At 47.3% G+C, this 19,149-nt stretch overlaps 1 protein-coding gene across 2 annotated transcripts in view; it reads left to right on the plus strand.

Annotated features, from left to right (window-relative positions):
* The window catches only part of C1orf94 (chromosome 1 open reading frame 94), a 52,139-nt gene extending 33,317 nt beyond the window's left edge, over positions 1-18,822 (plus strand). For both annotated transcript variants that reach the window (NM_032884.5, NM_001134734.2), the window contains exons 3-7: positions 463-723; positions 1,775-1,950; positions 7,848-7,925; positions 11,901-12,097; positions 18,377-18,822. In NM_032884.5, the coding sequence (NP_116273.2) occupies positions 463-723; positions 1,775-1,950; positions 7,848-7,925; positions 11,901-12,097; positions 18,377-18,452 (788 nt within the window). In that variant the 3' untranslated portion in view covers positions 18,453-18,822. The remainder of the gene's footprint in view (positions 1-462; positions 724-1,774; positions 1,951-7,847; positions 7,926-11,900; positions 12,098-18,376) is intronic.
* The last annotated feature ends 327 nt before the right edge of the window (positions 18,823-19,149 follow it).

Consider the following 19,149-nt stretch of genomic DNA (forward strand, 5'->3'; position numbering starts at 1 on the left):
ATGGTTGGAGAGAAGGAATAGTGGAAGGAATGAGGAAAAGTAAGGAAGGAGAGGAAAGAAAAGAAAGGTAATTCGAATAAAGGAATGATGGAAGGAAGGATGAAGGGGTGGATGGATGGAAGGAAGGCAGGAAGATAAAGATGGATAGTCAGACAAATGGATGGACAGATGGATGGATGGATAAGTAGACGGATAGAAGGAAGAAAGGCAAAGATGATGGACAGATGGGTGGATGAATGAACAGATGGATGGATTGATGGATGCATGAGATCGGGGGGCAGGGGCCAGGGAGGGTTTCAGGGAGAGATTGGGATTGTATTTGGCTGAAAGAGAGTCCCCCAAAGTGGTCCAAGCCTCAGGTGTGTGCTGCAGAGGATTCATCATTTAGTCCACAAAAAGGTGCTTCCAGCATCCAGCACTTGGCCTTCCAGAGGCATTGACTCAGTTTCTTTCCTGCTACAGAATGGAGCCCTGGCACCAAGGAGCCAAAAAAGGGTCAAGGGAGCCTCTTTCTCAGCCAGTGGCCCCAGAGCCAGAAGGACGCCTGTGGTGAGGAGGGTTGCTGTGACGCAGTGGGCACCGCATCACTGACCCTGCCGCCCAAGAAACCTACATGTCCAGCCGAGAAGAACTTGCTCTATGAGTTCCTTGGGGCCACCAAGAACCCAAGCGGGCAGCCGAGACTTCGAAACAAAGTGGAAGTGGATGGGCCGGAGCTGAAATGTGAGCTGACCTACCCAGGGAGGGATTGGAGGGGAGGGGGTTGCAGTGACCCTCACAGGCTTCAGGGTGGCTCTGTCACCAAGTGGCTGTCTTATCTACTGCCTTTCTAGAGGTGTCAGTTTTTAAACCCATAAAATGGGGGCAATGACTTTCTCCCCATATCCCTTGTTGGGAATACAGTTGCTAGAGAAGTGTAGTTGGCTTTCAAGGGTCACGTCAGCATTATTAATGGTCACTTCTGAATATAGCCCTGACCCAGCATGTATTATATCCTCTCAAATTGCCCAAGCCAAAACAAAAGATCCTTGCTTTAGATTATTTCTATATTGAGATTATGTTCCCGCTTTCTTTTCCTACAAGGGTTCTAGTCAAACCTCTTTTCCCAAAAGGATGCCAATAAGGGGAAACTGAGGACCCATTTCTGATTTTATAAGCCCCCACAACATCTTGTAGAAAGGAAGAATCCAGGATTCTGATCTTGAAACAACTCAACCTAACTTCATTTGTTTAGACCAATTTTGAGTCACTGCATGCTGAATTATTTAATGTTTTAAAATATAATTTTTAAAATTCCCATATAGATACAACAACCTGTGAAAGTTTCTTAGTGTTGCCAAATATATGTCCTTAGGGAGGGGCTGCTTTAATCATTTGATAAGGATGAATTCCAATGGCATAGCAATGGTTCACATAAAGTTGGATTTTTCCAAAGCAGTTGAAAGAATTTCATTTTGTAAGTAGGTGAAATATAGGCCTAGCAATCTGGCTTATTGTATTCCCTTGCTAAATTGCCTTCTTTACTAGTGAATGATGGAAAGAAAAGCTCCAAGCCAGACCTTCTGGGATTTTCATCCCTTCCAAACTGGCAAGGTGTGAACTAATGATGTTTACCTATAGTTGGAAATGTACTAGAACTTTGAAGAACCCTCTTGGAGCTTAAAGGACCTGACCTGTGAGACTGTGAATCCCTAAGGAAGTTGCGATGCTGAAGGTGTCCTGGCCTCTCCCTGCCTCCATCACTGACCCGCTTTGCCTCTCCTGTGACTTGCAGTTAACGCACCTGTGACGGTTGCTGACAAGAACAACCCGAAGTACACAGGGAATGTTTTCACTCCACACTTTCCTACAGCCATGACCTCAGCAACCCTGAACCAGCCACTCTGGCTCAACCTGAACTATCCACCTCCACCAGTGTTCACGAATCACTCTACCTTCTTGCAGTATCAGGTCAGTGAGCTGGCCTGGCTCTCCTGTGGACATCCACGGGGGTTTTGGCCACAGAGAAGGAGTGGCTGGCAGGGGGTCTATTTCACAGAGTCTTTAGACTCCTCTGAATCCCTTCCCTACATGCAAGAGGCTTCGCTGGGGCTATGGAAGGGCGCTGTCAACTTGTCAGCTTGTTGGTTATTTTTTTCATTGTAGTCACATCAGATCTACCCCTTGGTTCATGTGCATGCGTGCGCACACCTCCACACACACACACATATGTATATTTAGTCCTAACTTTCCATTGTCCGAATTCCAGTTCACACTGTGCTCTTTATTGCAGAGTCTCTTTGCTAGTTGTGGCTGGTTAAGTGCTTGGGCTCCCAGGAGAAGATGATGTCACAGTCCTTGTTTCCCACCTCTCTCCTGTGACTTCCTTTGAAGTTGGATGACATATATCCCAGATTATTTGGGACAGTCCCAATTTAGGTCTTCTGTTCCAGAATAATATGAATGGCATCCCTTTTCACTCTCAAGTGTCCTGGTTTGGACAACAAATTACAGTCAGCCCTCTGTATCCATGGGTTCCAAATCCACAGATTCAACCAATCTTGGATGGAAACTACTTGAAGAAGAAAACAACAACAACAACAACAAAATACAACAACAAAAAATAATGCGAGTAAAAGATAATACAGTATAATAACTATTTACATAGTACATTATTAGGCGTTGTTAGTAATCTAGAGATTAAAGGATACAGGAGCATGCGCATAAGCTACATGCAAATACTATGCCATTTTATATTAGGGACTTGAGCATCCTCATATGCCATTTTATATCAGGCACTTGAACATCTTTATATGTCATTGTATATCAGGGACTAGATCATCCTCATATGCCATTTTATTTTATTTGAGACAGAGTCTCACTCTATCGCCCAGGCTGGAGTGCAGTGGCATGACCTTGGCTCACTGCAACCTCTGCATCCCAGGTTGAAGCGATTCTCCTACCTCAGCCTCCCAAGTAGCTGGGATTACTGGTATGTGCGCTAATTTTTGTATTTTTAGTAGAGACTGGGTTTCACCATGTTGGCCAGGCTGGTCTTGAACTCCCCGCCTCATGTGATCCACCTGCTTCCACCTCCCAAAGAGCTGGGAGTACAGGGGTGAGCCACCGCACCCGGCCCTCAAATGCCATTTTATATCAGAGACTTGAGCATCTTTGTATGTCATTTTATATCAGGGACTTGAGCATCCTCAGATTTTGGTATCCACAGGGCAGGGGAGGGAGGGTGGTCTTGGAACCAATCCTCTGAGGATACCGTGGAATGAGTGTATATGGCCACCTTACTTAAACTACACCAAGCAGTCTTAGCTTTGTACCAACCAAGGTGGCTTGGCACACATTCTTGTTCTTGGGATCATAGCTAAAGGAGAAAATCAATGGCCAGACACAAAGGGACAGTGAAGCACCTGTAGCAGGGCTGGAAATTCTACTCACAGAACTTATTTATGCAGGGAAAATGTAGTTTCTTTATTTTGTCGATTTAACTTAATATCCCTTAAGAGCTGCCGCCCACTGGGTAGAAGGAGGGAAAAATTAAATAAATGTCCACTCTGGTTTAAGCCTTAGCCCAATCCAATAACTTAAATAGTCCCTTTAGGTAGAACTCAATTTTTTCAGGAAAGATTCTCCATGCCTAAGATTTCTGTCTTCTGTTCCTCGCACTGGCTTCTCTCCAGAATTGTATGTCATTGTATGGGGAAGGGCAGGAACTCAAATTTGTGCACTCAGGACCTTGGCAATTTGCTGCCCCAGCCTGGCCCAGCACAGCCTGAAGTGAGAAAGCAAAGAAGGAAATACTTCCAACTCGGCTTGTCCTGTTGCTATGTCCCTTCCCCGCTCTCCACTCCTAGGAACCCTATGTCATTCTTTCCCTTTCAACACAGCACAAACCTTATGTCCTATTGGGAAAGGGGATTGGCTCTTCTGCATATAAAGACTCTTCAAGCTGGTCCACCAGGCTTAGTTTCTGAATCTTAAAGGAACTTAGCAAAGTCTCTCTCTGTTTTGTTTTCAAGCTTTTTGTTTGTGTGTGTGTTTGCTAAAGAGAACAAGTACCCGTCCCCTCCCGAGGGAGGGAAAGCTCACACCCCATTGTGGAGGTGAGAGGTTGTGATGAAAGGTGACCTAAGAAGGAAGCTGAAGTGGACCAGTTTCATATTAGTAGTCTATTGTCATGGACCTGTTCATATCAGTAGTCTATTGTCCTTACACAGGTCTTGAAATGTCCTGTTCATTGATTCGCTGACTCCTTTACCAATATGATTCTACCCTTTCATTTTTGTGTGCCTATTCACTATTCATTTACTCACCTACTCACGATTTACTCATTTCTATGTATTTATTTACTCATTAATTTAAGTAATTTTGAAAACCATTTCTCCCTACAAGCCTACTAGAGGCTGAGCATTGTTCTAGGTGGAGGGATTCAAAGATGACTAAAGTCAGGTGTGGTGGCATGTGCCTGGAGTCCCAGCCTACACCAGAGGCTGAGATAGGAGAATTGCTTGAGCTCAGGTGTTCAAGACTAGCCTGAACAATATAGTGAAACCCTGTCTCTAAAAAAAAAAAATGATGACTAAGAAAAGCTTGGAGTCTAATGCAAGTTCAGGAATAAACCAGAGATCAGCTCTATGCATCTCCACCTCTAAAGGGGAAACAACTGCATAATTCATTTAGTACAAGTCGATTCACTCTAAAATGCCCTCACAGAGCTCACCGTGTAAAACTAATTTGCAATGGTTTGCTTTATTAAGTGGGGATAGCATCTCTTTGCTATGTTAATTTCTTCTGACTTTTTGGAGTGGGTGAGATTTGGACATATCATTTTCTGAGCATGACGGTCCTCTGTCTTTAGCATCATAGGGCTGACTATGAGGTTCCTGGGCTTCTGAGCAGAAGCAGCAGAAGGACCCTGGCTGGTAAGGCCTGCTGGGTTCTTTGAGACAGTTTAAGCACTGAATGGGCCCAGCTGAAGTTGGCTGTGGAAGGCATTGGTCCTCCCAGGTAATAAGGAAGGACAGCATAATTTACCTTCTCCCAGCTTCTGTGATCTCACAATGCTGTCCAGCTTCAACATAGCTGATCAAGGGGCCTGAGATAATAGCAGGCAGGTTTTGAAACCAGTAGACTTGACTTTAAAGGTTCTGCTGCTTCCAAGTTAGGCCTTAGGCTGGTTAGCTGCTCAGAGCCATGGTTCCTCATTTGTGAAATGGGTTCATAATAATTGCAGCAGCAGCAGCAGTAGCTACTGATATGGTTGTAAGGATTAATTGAGTCCATGGAAGGGTAAAGACTCTGTAAAATTTAAGCTGTGACACAGATGTTGGTTTTTATTATTATTCAGCCTCAATCTTCCAAGGAAATGGGGTCAGAGAGCTCCACAGACCTTGAGGGGACAGAGAGGAGAAATGGGGAACAGTCTAGCCTGGTCTTTTCCCTGTTTAGCACTGGGAATAAAGATAAGGTCCCAAATCCAATTTACTCAGAGCTCTGTGGTAGGAGGACTCAGAGATGTGAAAGACAAAGTCCCCAACACCGAGGAGCTTCAGAGGCTCCTGGGCTACTTGGCATAAAGGAACTCTGCTCCCAATGAAGGAGGGAGGGTGCGTGGGAAGGGACCATGGCTTAAGCAAAGAACAGTGAATGTTTATTTACCCTTGCCTGTGATGTTACAAACTTGCAATTCTAACAACTAGAAATGTTGTTGAAGTCATGCAGTGTTTTCTAACTCATGAGTGTGGCACCATCTCCTGAGAATCCGCCCTGGGACTGAGCAGCGGTGGGCAGCTGTTTGCCATCCACAGAGCCTAGGGCAGCCTGGCACAAGCAGGTGTGGGATGGTGGAGGCTGGGGAAGTTGGCTGTAGAAAGCAAGGGGCACCTTCCTCCCTGGTGCTCCCAGGAGGACCAGGGCCACCAGCTTAAGCCCTCTGCTGTCCCTACTGTATGGGCTCCTGTGAGGGGTGGATGGCATGGCCCATGCTGGGCATTCTGGAGACTGCTCAGTGCTGTACCTGAGGGAGAAGATGATGAAAAAGAGGCAGAGGGAAGATGAAAGATTCCCATAGGGAAGCTCAGCTGCTGCAACTTAGGCTCTGCGGTCTGGAGGCATAGCTCTGGTCACCCTCTAAGAGGGTACGATGAGTCTCAAAAATGGTGACATGGAATGCTCCCAGCAGAGATCTTTGTGTATGATGCCGTGCACACACACAATTGCACACAAACGATATCCATGCATGTTTGATGCACACACATAGAAACAGAAACAGGCAGGCGCACGACTGCCTGTAGAAAGCAGAGATGAGTGCTAACAGGGATCAGAGGAGGCGGCGAAACAGAGGAGGGACACTTAGCAACATGCCTAGTGGCCTTGGAGCTCATGGAGGGCTGAGAACAGGTAAGGCAACACCATCAGTCTCACTGCTCTGTCCAGGTTCAGGCAGAGGCTGGGGTTGCAGGGACCGGGCAGTGGTCATAACAGGAGAGAGAGGCTGCCCTGGGCTGTAGAGCTTGGAGTAAAGGGGAGCAGGTGAGTGGTTTCAGGTGAAGGAGTGGACAAAAGTGGGAGGGGCCTGAGCATGGGAATGTCAGGAGTGTCCCCTGCATGGGAGCAGAGAGCAAGGAGGGGCTCTGAGAAGAGGTACACTCTTGGGGACCTGGAAGATGGAGCAGGAGGAGAGCAGGGAGACCTACTTGCAGACTCCATATCAGAAAGTCCACAGGCCATGAGGGAACCCTCAAGGGTGTAGGGTCAGCCATCATCAACACTTTGGTCATTGGCACAAGCTGAGCTGAGAATGGAGGCAGCCTCTCGGGCAGCAGATCTTCTGAGAAGATGTCCTGGGCTGAGGGGTACTTTGGGTTTTGAGCCTCATCTTAAGGGAAAACTCGGGATTGACAGGTGGAGGCAGAGTCTGAGACTAGAACTGACCACTGCCACAGCAGCAGTTCTGCGGGGTGTGTGTGTGTGTGTGTGTGTGTGTGTGTGTGTGTGTGTGTCTTACGTCTGTGTGTGGACACATGAGCACCTCAAGACAGAATTGTGAGTAAAATGTCAATTTCCCATCTGGCTGAACTGCCAGAAAGCTGTTTAAGGGAGGAGGCAGTGATGGATGACAAACACACTGAACATTGAGTCCTTACTATGTGCAGGGCACTGTTCTAAGCTCTTTAGATGTATTAACACTTTCACCCTCACAGTGCCCCTCTCCGTAAGCTACAGACACAGGTATATGGATGGGCACATAGATACACAGCAACACTAACACACCTGGGTTCACAGTTGTATATTTGTACACAGAAATACACAGCTGCATAGACACAAATGTAAACACACATGCAGGTGTATTTAACATGGATGCAAACCAACACACACACGTAGAGACGTGCATAGACACCTTGTGTCTTCAGGGGGCAGGTATGGGATTAGGGGAAGGCATTTAGAAAAGTTGTGTGGACAGCAACAAAGATAATGTGGCTACCTTCATAGGCTTTGCAGGCCTGAGCACATGCAATTTTTTAGAGAAGGAAAAAGAGGCTCAGAGATGTGATTTGCCCAAGGTCACACAGCCACTAAAACACAGATCTGGGACTCGGGAGGCAGTCAGGCTCCTGAAGCTCCTGTCTCCCACACTCATCAGAAAGGCTGTGAAGGCTGCCTAAGAGGGGCTTCCTGTGTGATGTGAGTCCTGCTTCTCCTGGCCTGGTTCCAGCTGGCCTCAGACAGCCCATGGGTCTGGTCAGCAATGTGATGGGACAAACTCAGTCCTGTCTGGGAACTGAGCTGAGTAGCTGATGCCTTCTGGCAGGAAACCCCTTGCCTGGCCATACTGAGCCTCTGTTTCTCCCCAGGGCCTGTACCCACAGCAGGCAGCGAGGATGCCCTATCAGCAGGCTTTGCACCCGCAGCTGGGATGTTACTCCCAACAGGTGAGTAGACGATCTCTCCTCCTCTGTCCTGGGTCCATGAAGGCCTTTGGGTCAGAGGGTGCATCTGCTCCCTCCTCCTTTTCCAGCTGGTGACCAGACACCTGGCCCACCATTGGCTCTGGAGTACAGACTCACATACCGGCATGCGTGTGGAAAACACAAACCGATGTCCGTATGTGACAACACTGGGCACTTAATGGAGCCCTTCCTGTGTGCTGGGCCTGTCCGTAAGGACTGTGTCTGCACTAACTAATTTAGCCTTCAAAATTACCCTGTGAGGTAGGTTATAGATGAGGAAACCCAAGCACAGAGAGATTAAGTAAGTAACTTGCCCAAAGTAATAAAGTTACTTGGGAACATACAAATTAGGTGTTGCTGTGGCAATACATAACCGCCACATCTCGGGGACTTTCAACAATGAATATTAATTTCTTGCTCGGGTCTATGGGCTGGCTGAGCTGGGCTGTGGATCAGGTTTAGGTGGGTTCCATGTGCCTCTCCTGGGCCTCTGCTGAAGATTCAGTACCTCTTGCTCTTTCCACGGTGGATGGCAAGAGCCCAACAGGGCAAGCAGAAACACGTGATGCCTCTGAAATCCTCAACTCAGACCTGTCCGTGGGAACTTCCACCCACCTTCCACTGGCCAACGCAAACGACATGGCTTTGCTCAGCATCAGTGAGACTGAGGAGTCATATTCTTCCCACGCAGGGTTGCCAGTTAAAATCCAGGACACCCAGTTAAATTTGAATTTCAGATAAACAAGGAAAAAATGTGTAGTGTAAGTATGTCCCAAATATTGCACAGGATATACTTATGCTAAAAATATGTATTAGTTATCTGAAATTTGAACGTAACTGGGTGTCCTGTATTTTTATTTGCTAAATCTGGCAACACTACTTTCATGGGTAGGTCAGGATAAATATCTGTGGGACAATAATTGAGGTTTGACCTTTGGCAGGCTGGTACTCCAATGACCATGCTTTACTACATCTTGTACCTAGATGCACAATAATACTGCCTGAAAATAAAGCAGCAGAAAGAGAAATGCAAACACACACACACACACACACACACACACACACACATGCAGACAGAAACACAGGTATAGTTGTACACATGCCACCAAGCTGCAGGAGCCTGTGTGCAGGCACAGGGACACAAATAGATACAGAAGCACATTGAGGGGTATTGAGTCTTGGGGCAGGGATGGGGGTGTGAGGAAAGGAGCTTAGAATGGAGGAGCAGAGGGCACCAACACCCAGCCTGCCATAGCACCAGGCTGGCCTTGCTCCTCCACACAAATGTGGACACCCCCACACTCCAACTCATACAACCTCTGCCTCTCCTGTCTCCCCAGGGAGCCCCACCCTCCGTGCAAACCGCACCTCTGACCTGAAATGTGTTAGAATGTTCGGGAGGGTAGGGAAGAGCCTGCAGGGGTAGGGAGCCTTGTTACCTGGGCCAGCACTGATTTCTCAGCAGCAGGAACCCTTGCATCCTGAGATGAATCTGGGATGAGAGATGATCTGGGTCAGGGAATCTCAGCCCCATTGCCTCCACCCCTTGAACAAGAATATCGTCCACCTGGCTCCAGAGAGAATATTTTTAAATAATTATGTGTATGTGTATGCATGCATGCATGTGTATGTATTTGAAAAAAGTAATATAAAAACATGGTAAAAAATTTTAAAACTTGGAGGCAATCACTGTTTAATGGTTTTTTACATATTTTCCCGGCAATATCTATTTATATAAACATTTTTAAATAAATGCGGCATTCTGGGCACACTGTTCCATTGCTTTTGTCAGTGAGGATTATATTTGGAGATGGCTCCAGAGCAGGCTACAAAGCTCTACTTTATAGTTTCATCAGATACATGGAATCAGGGGCACATTTTTTTATAACACTGTGTGAACTCTAGGACCTGCCTCCTCCACTTCAATCCCCTCCCAGGTCCAGGCACTTCCTCCCCCATGAGGACAGGGGTACTTTCTGCCATGCTGACCCATAGGGTCATGACTCCCATCTGACCTGCGAGGTGCTCTTGGCATGTTCTGACCTTTAGCTCATCACCTTGGGATTTGGTGCCTGCGCCCAGCATCACCAGGCCCCACATCTCCACTGGAGAACATTGGGGAAGACCGGGAGGGAGGACTCAGGTTTCCAAAGAGGACACAGCATAGAGAGGCTAGTGAGAACCAAGGTATAGGCTCCGGGCTTACCCTGCTGGGGTTCTGACCACAACTCAGACGCTGGAAACACTGAGAAAGTTGCTTCACTTCTCTGAACCTCAGATTTCCTGCTTCCAAACTGGAAATAATAATGGCCCTACCTCACAGGGCTTTCTGGAGTTTTAACGACAGCATCCATGTGAAGGGCCGGGCACATTTTAAGCAGTCAATGAGTGCTAGCCTTTGTGGATTGTTTTTTTTTTTTTAGACGGAGTCTCGCTCTGTTGCCCAGGCTGGAGTGCAGTGGCACAATCTTGGCTCACTGCAACCTCCACCTCCTAGGTTCAAGCAATTCTCCTGCCTCAGCCTCCCGAGTAGCTGGGACTACAGGCATGTACCACCACGCCTGACTAATTGTTGTATTTTTGGTAGAGACAGGGTTTCACCATATTGGCCAGGCTGGTCTCAAACTCCTGACCTTGTGATCCACCCACCTCGTCCTCCCAAAGTGCTCGGTTACAGGCGTGAGCCAACGCACCCAGCCCCCTTTGTGGATTTTTTTTTTTAGATAAGGGTGTATGGGGTGAGAGAGGGCTGTCAGAGTGCCTGATTCCTGAGCACTTGGACCCCAGACTTGCTATTAAAGTGGAAATCCAGAAGTTTCTTCAAATTCTAACTGATACTCCCCTCAGTACACAAGAGGATAGACATCAGCTCCGTATGAGAAAAGGTTTTCTCATATTTGGAGCTGTCAGTAGTGGAATGTAGTGCTCATTAGGTAACGAGCCCCCCATCATTTAGGTATTCAAGCAGATGCCTTAGTGGTCTTTTCTTTCCTCCCTCCTTCCTTCTGCCCGTCTTTGCTTTCCTCTCTCTCCCTTTCTTGCATTCATTCATTTAACATATGTTTGTTAAGCAGTGACTGTGTCCCAGGCACTGTCTTAGGGCTGGGGAGATAGTGGTCAACAAGATGGATGAGGTCTCTGACTTGTCGCGGCAAGATGGTGGGAGCCCCAGTTCTAGGTCGGAGTTCATCACGGGCAATCTCGGAAGCACCACTGAATTCCTGTATTTCCCTAGAGTTTGTGCTCAACCCCATTGCCTTTTTTTGCCCTTCCTCCTAGACTCACACTGTCTACTATGGCAGCCACCAGCTATGTGTGGCTATTTAAATTAGCTAAAATTAAGTATAATTCAAAACTCAGTTCCTCATGCCCATGAGCCACATTTCAAATGCTCAATTGTCGTGTGTGGCCGGTGGCTTCCATGTCACACGGCACAGATGTAGGACATTGCTGCCATCCCAGGACTTTCCACTGGGTAGGGCTGTCTCGGACTTGCAATCTGTTGAAAGGCTCTCAAGAGAGATAGAAGCCAGAGCTGTGTAAATCACAACAGCTTTTTGGGGATAATGAAAGCCTTAAAAATAAACAAGGAGCTTTTGAGATGGTTATTGACAGAGGGAAAAGCTAGGCAAACAGGGAAGAGAATGGAAATAATATTGATTTGCTATTTACTATATGCCTGTCTCTCTACTTGTATCACCTGACTCTATCCCCACTAACAACGTAGATAGTGTTTTCCCATTTTGCAGATGGGGAAACTGAGGCTCAGATAAATTAGGTAACTTGCCAGGCTCACTACATAAGTTGAGCCCTAGGCTTTCTCCATTCCAACATGTTGCCTTCTGTGTACCCAGCAGTGACTGAGGAGCACAGGGGCTGAGACTGGGGGTGGGTGGCTGGGGTTAGAGTTGGGCTGGGGAATGGTGACCTCACCCCTCTCTTCTCTGTGATGTGCAGGTGATGCCATACAACCCACAGCAGATGGGACAGCAGATCTTCCGCTCTTCCTACACCCCTCTGCTGAGCTACATCCCTTTTGTCCAGCCCAATTATCCCTACCCTCAGAGGACACCTCCAAAGATGTCTGCCAACCCCCGAGACCCTCCCCTAATGGCAGGAGATGGACCGCAGTACCTCTTTCCCCAAGGATATGGGTGAGTCAGCCCACACTGGGAGCCTAAGGGTATCCAGAAAGCTGGTGGGAACGGGGGCAAGTTGGGTGGGCTTACCAGCGCTTTCTTAGTATGTGTGTTCCATGGCTGTGGGGTGGGATGGGCCCTGTACCTGTGGCTGGTGGTTGTGTGGGTCCTGGAGGGACCTGGTGCAGAGATGAAGAGGGTCTGGGGCCTGGTGGGCCCCTTTTGTAGGTGCATTTCAGGTCTGGTTGCAGAAATGCAACTGCACGGTCCATAACATATGGATACCCCTACTCCATAGGCAGGGGCAGTTGGTGCAACGATGCATTTGCCTTTACCCATGTGCTTGGTTACAACAGGACATGGCCAGCTAATCTCCTTAGAGCTCTCACCTCCCACTGTCCGCACCCTGATCTCCTTGCAAGGCTAATCTCCCCAACATCCCATTGACTTTGTGATGGGCCCTGCGGAAGAGCCTTCGACTGCTTATCAGGGCTGCCCACACTTTTCCACCAAGTTCCCCAAACTGCAGAGGCAAGGAGCTCCTACTTCCTGGGACAGTCTGAAGGCTTAACAGCAAACAGCCAGCACAAACTCAACATTCTGGCTGAAAATTCTACTCAAATTGTGCATGCTGTTGAGTCATAAATTTGTGTTTGTTTTAATATAATAATACATAGCCATTCATTCCCACCCACCAAATCTTCCACTAATATGGATGCTCCAAGGGGCACGTGGTGCCCTGTCATTCCTGGGAATCCCAGTCTCCCGGGCACACCCTGGGGAATGGGTGCCTGGGTTTGAGAAACTCACTTTATAGGATTAAGGCCAACCTTCCCAGCCTGACAGTGATTCCCATCCTTCCACCTCCCCATCACAGAACCTTCCCTGCAGTGCCGACCCATGTCCCCAAACTCTCATCCTTTCAATCAGTATTTTCTCCAAATAGCTTGTTGAAAGGGATAAATGCAGCAAGTGGTTTCAGTAGTCAGATCTGTTTGGGAAAAGCTGTGGGAAACAGAGATAAACAGATTTCTTAACTGTTGGAATTCTCAGATCATTTAATTTCCTAGGGTGCACGGAGAATGTTCAAGAAGGTGGTCGATAGTATTATTTAAACATGAAATCCACACCCTTTTCTTTTTTTATTTTATTATTATTATTTTTTTGAGATGGAGTTTCACCCTTGTTGTCCAGGCTGGAGTGCAATGGCGTGATCTCGGCTCACTGCAATCTCCGCCTCCCAGGTTCAAGCGATTATCTCACCTCAGCCTTCCGAGTAGCTGGGATTACAGACGTCCACCACCACACCCAGCTAATTTTTGTATTTTTAGTAGAGACGGGGTTTCACCATGTTGGCCAGGCTGGTCTCAAACTCCTGACCTCAGGTCATCTGCCTGCCTCAGCCTCCCAAAGTGCTGGGATTACAGCCATGAGCCACCGTGCCCAGCATCCACATCCTTTTAAAAAAAATATTCCTTCCTTCCTTCCTTCCTTCTTTCCTCCCTCCCTCCCTCTTTTCCTCTCTCCCTCCCTTTCTCTTCCTTTCTCTTGTAGAGTATATCATGGTGTGTTCTACCTAACACACCCAGGGAAACGCTGTGTTGACACATGTAGTTAATTTGAATTTAGCCTGCAGGGGACCTATAGATGAATAGGACATGCTTCTTCCCTTCAGAGAACTGAGAGCAGATGAAATGTGGGCACAACAATGTTAGTGCCCTGGCAAAGTGAAAACCATCAAAGTGGCCCGAGGACAAAGGCAGAATCCCTGCAGCGGGGGAGGTTCCAGTGAGCAGCACTGGGAGGAGGGCATTCCAGGCAGGAGGAGCAAGGCCCTCAGATGGGAAAGCAAGTGGCAAGCTGGAGGCCTGGGGAATAAAGGAGTCTGGCTGAAGAATTAGATTTGTCTCTGAAAAAGGTGGAAAATAGGATTGGAAAAGGGAGGTTGAGACTAGATTATGAAAGGCTTTGGACTGCTAGGCCTGGGGATCCAGGGAAGATTTATGCACATCAGAGTGAATTGATGGGCTGGAAGTAAGAGAAAGAGGAAGCAGGATAGGGTGGGGTCTAGAGGTGGCTCTAGGGGCCTATGGGACAGATTATCATCCCCTGGAGGTGAGAATAGAGACCCAGACAAGCCCCCTGCAGGTTGGCCAACTTCCCACATTCTGTGCTGTGACTCTGGGCTCTGGGAAGATAGACTTGCTGTAGGAGATAGCCCTGGCTGTGTCTGGGAGGGAGGGTGGTCTCAATGTCTCCTCAGTCAGCTTTCGGGAACCACCGACTGGGAGCTGTGAGACCAGAAGGTTGAGACTTGGTCTCCACATGTCTGCAGAGGTCGGAGGAGTGGGTAGGCAGCCCGAGGAAGGAGCAGCCTGAGAAGTGAGAGACAGCCTGGGGAAAGCCAGAGACAGTGGAGGCAAAGAGGAGGGTGAGGAGAAGGAGCAGGGTGGATTGGCGTTCTGAGAGGCTGGGGAGACCAGGACCATGAGGTCGGAAAAATAATGTAAGGGATGCAAGCCTGAGTACCCAGAGGGGATGATCTGTTCATTCAAAAAATATTGATCCAGCACCTTGTATGTGCCTGGCACTGTTGTAGACACCAGGGATAATGAAGTGAACGAAAAAAAGGTTTTCCTTCTCCTAAGGAGCTTTCATTCTAGAAGGAGAAATGGACAATAAGGAGATAAACAGGCAAGCATGCAAGGCCAGGTCCTCAGGATATGGGTTGGGGTGGGGAGAAGAATCAAGGGCAGCCTCTTGAGCCAAGATCTAAATGAGATGAGAGAATGAACCACACATACATTTCGGGGATGAGCCTCTGGGCAGAAATAATAGAAAGTGCAAGGGCTCTGAGGTGGGAACCTGTGGCTGCAGCACAAACAGTGAGGGAGGGAGTGCATGGAATTAAAATAAGAGGTAGCCAGGGCCAGACTAGACAGGGCCTGGTAGGCATGGCTAGAAGTCTTGTTTCAGGAGCAGTGGAAAACCATGTAGGCTTTTAAATTGATGAGGACATGTTCTAATCTTCTATATAAAACAGATCACATTGGTCAATGTCTGAAGAATGGACTATGAGGGTAAGAGCTGAGGCAGGGGAGTAGGCTAGAGCTTTATAGTTGAGCAAGAGGCATTGGTGGGATGGATAAAGGCAGTGACCCTGGGAAAGGGGGCAGGTGAAAAGATCTGTGATGTGTTATTTTCTTGGTAGAATTGGTGGGACGTGATGATGGTTGAATGTGTGATGAGGGAAAGGGAAAAGTCAAACAAATTCCTTGGTTTTTGACTTGTGCAACTGGAGCAGCAGCAATGCCAAAACACTAAGGTCATTGGGCCAGGCACAGTGGCTCACGCCTGTAATCCCAGCACTTTCGGAGACCGAGGTGGGTGGATCACTTGAGGTCAGGAGTTCGAGACCAGCCTGGCCAAGATGGTAAAACCCCATCTCTACTAAAAATACACAAATTAGCTGGGCATAATCGTGGGTGCCTATAATCCCAGCTACTCGGGAGGCTGAGGCAGGAGAATTGCTTGAACCAGGGAGGCGGAGGTTGCAGTGAGCCGAGATCATGCCATTGTATTCCAGCCTGGGTGACAGAGCACAACTCCATCTCAAAAACAAAACAAAATAAAACAAACAAACAAACAAAAAACAAAAAATGACCAAGGTCATGATGACCACAGCAAGGATCTGTTTACCAAGAGTCAGTCTTAGACATGTGAAAATTGAGAAAGTCATTAGACAGATGGGTGGAGCTATGGATAGGTAGGTGCATATAGGAGTCTGGAACTCAGGGGAGAGGTTGGGGCTGGTAATACGTTTGGGAGCCATTCTCATATACATGATATTTCAAGGCAAGGGATGGGATGGGATGAGATGGCCCAAAATACACAAGTATAGAGAAGAGAAGAGATCCAAGGGCTGAGCCTTGAGACTTCCAGCATGTAGAGGCTGCGGAGATGTGGAGGAACCAGCAAAGATTCTGTGAATAAGTAGGACTATCTAGTGAGGTGGGGAAAAAAATGGGAAAGTGGAGTGCAGGAAGCCAAGTGAAGAAAGTGTTTCCTGAACAAAGTGCTGGTGTTGGGGTGGTGACGCGAGGTGCTGATGGAACAAGATCAAGGTGAGGCTGCACCTGGCTGGGGAGTATGCATGGGCCTAAGCAGAGAGTTCAGCATGGAAGACAAGGAAGGTCAGCAGAAAAGGTGGAATCAAGAGACAAAACTGTGTGAAGGGGAGAGGAAGGAGTGAGAGGCTTCCATGTCCTCAGGGAAGGAGAAGTAGAGCCCTCCCCTCTGCCAAGTCAATTTGCACACATTCATCATGGTGGAATAACCATACAATTTATCTTCCAAGCAATAATAAATTTGAGAGTTAAAAGGAGTACAGATAATAATTATATCAGGCCAGACACGGTGGCTCACAACTGTATTCCCAGCACTTTGGGAGGCCAAGGCAGGTGGATCACCTGAGGTCAGGAGTTTGAGACCAGCCTGGCCAACACAGTGAAACCCCATCTCTACCAAAAATACAAAAAATTAGCCAGGTGTGATGGTGCACACATGTAGTCCCAACTACTGGGGAGAATGAGGCACAGGAATCGCTTGGACCTGGGAAGCAGAGATTGCGGTGAGTCAAGATCATGCCACTGCACTCCAGCCTGGGTGACAGAGTAAGACTCTGTTTCAAATAAATGAAACTATAAAATAATTATACCAGAAATACCAACATAGAGGCCGGCCCAGGCAAACCAGGACATATGTTCGTCCTACTCAACAGGCAACTCAAGCTCCTCCTCCTCCAGGAAGCATTACTTGTTAACTCTCGTCCACACAGATTGCTCCTCTTCCTGGCCCTCTAGCGTACATACTGTCTAGATCATGCCGGTGGCCGTTGATCTGATCAGAAGTTCTCAACCTGGAGGACCTAGCTGCATGTGTGCCAATCAGATATGAGCTGTGTCATGATCATTGTTGATTACTGATAATTGTTAAATACTGAAGTATGGGTTACAGCCTTTATTTTGTAAGTCAGAGTGGAAGGCAGGGTATCCCTATAATAACATCATTATGATTTCTGAATGATCCCAATATGATTTCTGAAAGAGAGAAACAGAGGTGGGGTTACCGCTGGCATGGATTGCTTATGAGGGACCCACATTGTGTCAGGCCCTGGGCACATGATATGAAATAGGTAAAGTCTCTGCTCTCTTGGCACTTATTTTAGTGAGAAGCTAGTGAGACAACCCAGCCCAACTTGCCCATGGAGACTCAGTGAGCAAGAGACAGAGTTAGCTGCTGAGGCACTACAAATGAATGCCGTGGTCTATTTCCATTGCTTCTTCCCTCCTCTGCTCCCGCTTTTTGTTTCATCAATTCATAGAAGGGTACCATGAATGTGAATCTCTTCTATAATATGCATCTGCCCAGCTGAAAAGTGATTGAGAATCCCAGGATTAGATTAAATCTAGCCATTTGCTCTATTGTAATTTGTATTGAGTTCTGTTCCCATTCATTCAAAGTATCTGAGCAGATGGGTGAAGAAATTACAGTAGGATTCCAGCAGTGTGAGTAAATGATTCCATCTGGAGAGGTCAGGGAAGTCTTCACAGAGGAGATGGCTTTTGAACTCTATTTTGAAGTATGGATAGGAGTGTGCCAGGGAGAAAAGGAGAGGCGTGTGCATTTCTGCTCTTAGACGGTGAGGCTCACGTCTTAACCCTTCCTTCCCTGAGGGTCTAGCAAAGCCCTAGGCACTCAGTGATGTCTCAATGCTTATTTCTGAGTCAGGGATGGAGTGAAGGGCCTGATTTAGCTTAGTGCTGGAAGGGGAGGAGGGACTCTGGGATTGTCCAGCCCCAAAGACCTTATGCTGGACTTGCCTCTAAGTTCTCTGATGTTGTAGATTTTCCTGAGGGACATGTCTGGTCCTCTAAGGCAGGTAGAGTGGTCACAGGAATACAGGTAAGATGCTTAGGTCCAGAGAGGGTCCCTGTTCTATGGGTCTTGGGCAGGGAGAGAGTGTAGGCTCCATTGAAACAATCTTTACAGGCTCCCAGGGACTTCCTGATCCAAGTAAGCATAAGGAGAAGCGCTTGATTGTCCTCTAATTGTATTATTTTAATATTTTACTTTCCCAGGGCCAAAGCCTTTCTTATGCCAAAGCCTTTACCCTCCAAGCCTGTCATGGTCTTCACTGTTTCTGACAACCATAAAATTAATATATATATTTTTCTAATTCTCTCCGATAACATTAGGAATCTCATCATGGCATCCACCCTCCCTCTCTTCCAGGTTCGGCTCGACATCCGGAGGGCCCTTGATGCACAGCCCCTATTTTTCTTCCAGTGGGAATGGCATAAACTTTTAGATCTCCTCTTCTCCCTTCTCCTCCCTTAGCCCTTGGATCAGGACTAGGGGCTCTGATTTTTGGATTCTGCAAAAGCTTGGTATGAAGTTTGGAAAAGCAAGGTTCTGACCAGGTCACAGACAAAACAGCAAGACCAGATTCATCTATTGGCCAACACTGACACAAAAATAGCCCTCCTCACACATGGCACAAGCTACACACACACACACACACATGACCCTCATATTCATACTTGCTTGCTCAACCACTTATGCATCTATATTTAGCTAACATGAGTGATTTTTGTTTTTGTTTTTGTTGGTAAAATAGAAGTAAGACACTTAATTTTAGAAAGTTTGTATTTTATGATAAAAGTATGAGCTACTTGAAATGGAGTGTGCCTGTTTATTTTTGTGGTGTTCTGTGTAATCTTTACCTCTCATTTTCCCCACGAGACTCAGCGTTTACTCAGGGCATGAAAGGAGACCACAGGCTGGAGTCCTCAGAGTGCTGCTATCTAAATATTGGACCTCAGGGATCATAAGTGAGAGGGCTTATCTCTTTTCCCCTGTGATCCACTCACCTCTCAACATCCCAGTGTATGCATCTCAGGAAGGGACATCATAAACGGAATGCACTCTGTCCTATCCCGAGTGGAAGTTTTCCATAAAAAGTCTCTTTTGGACAAACGATTGGGAAATGTAGCCTGGAAAACAAT

The sequence above is a fragment of the Homo sapiens genome, chromosome 1 (assembly GCF_000001405.40).
Source record: "Homo sapiens chromosome 1, GRCh38.p14 Primary Assembly".
Classification (NCBI taxonomy): domain Eukaryota; kingdom Metazoa; phylum Chordata; class Mammalia; order Primates; family Hominidae; genus Homo; species Homo sapiens.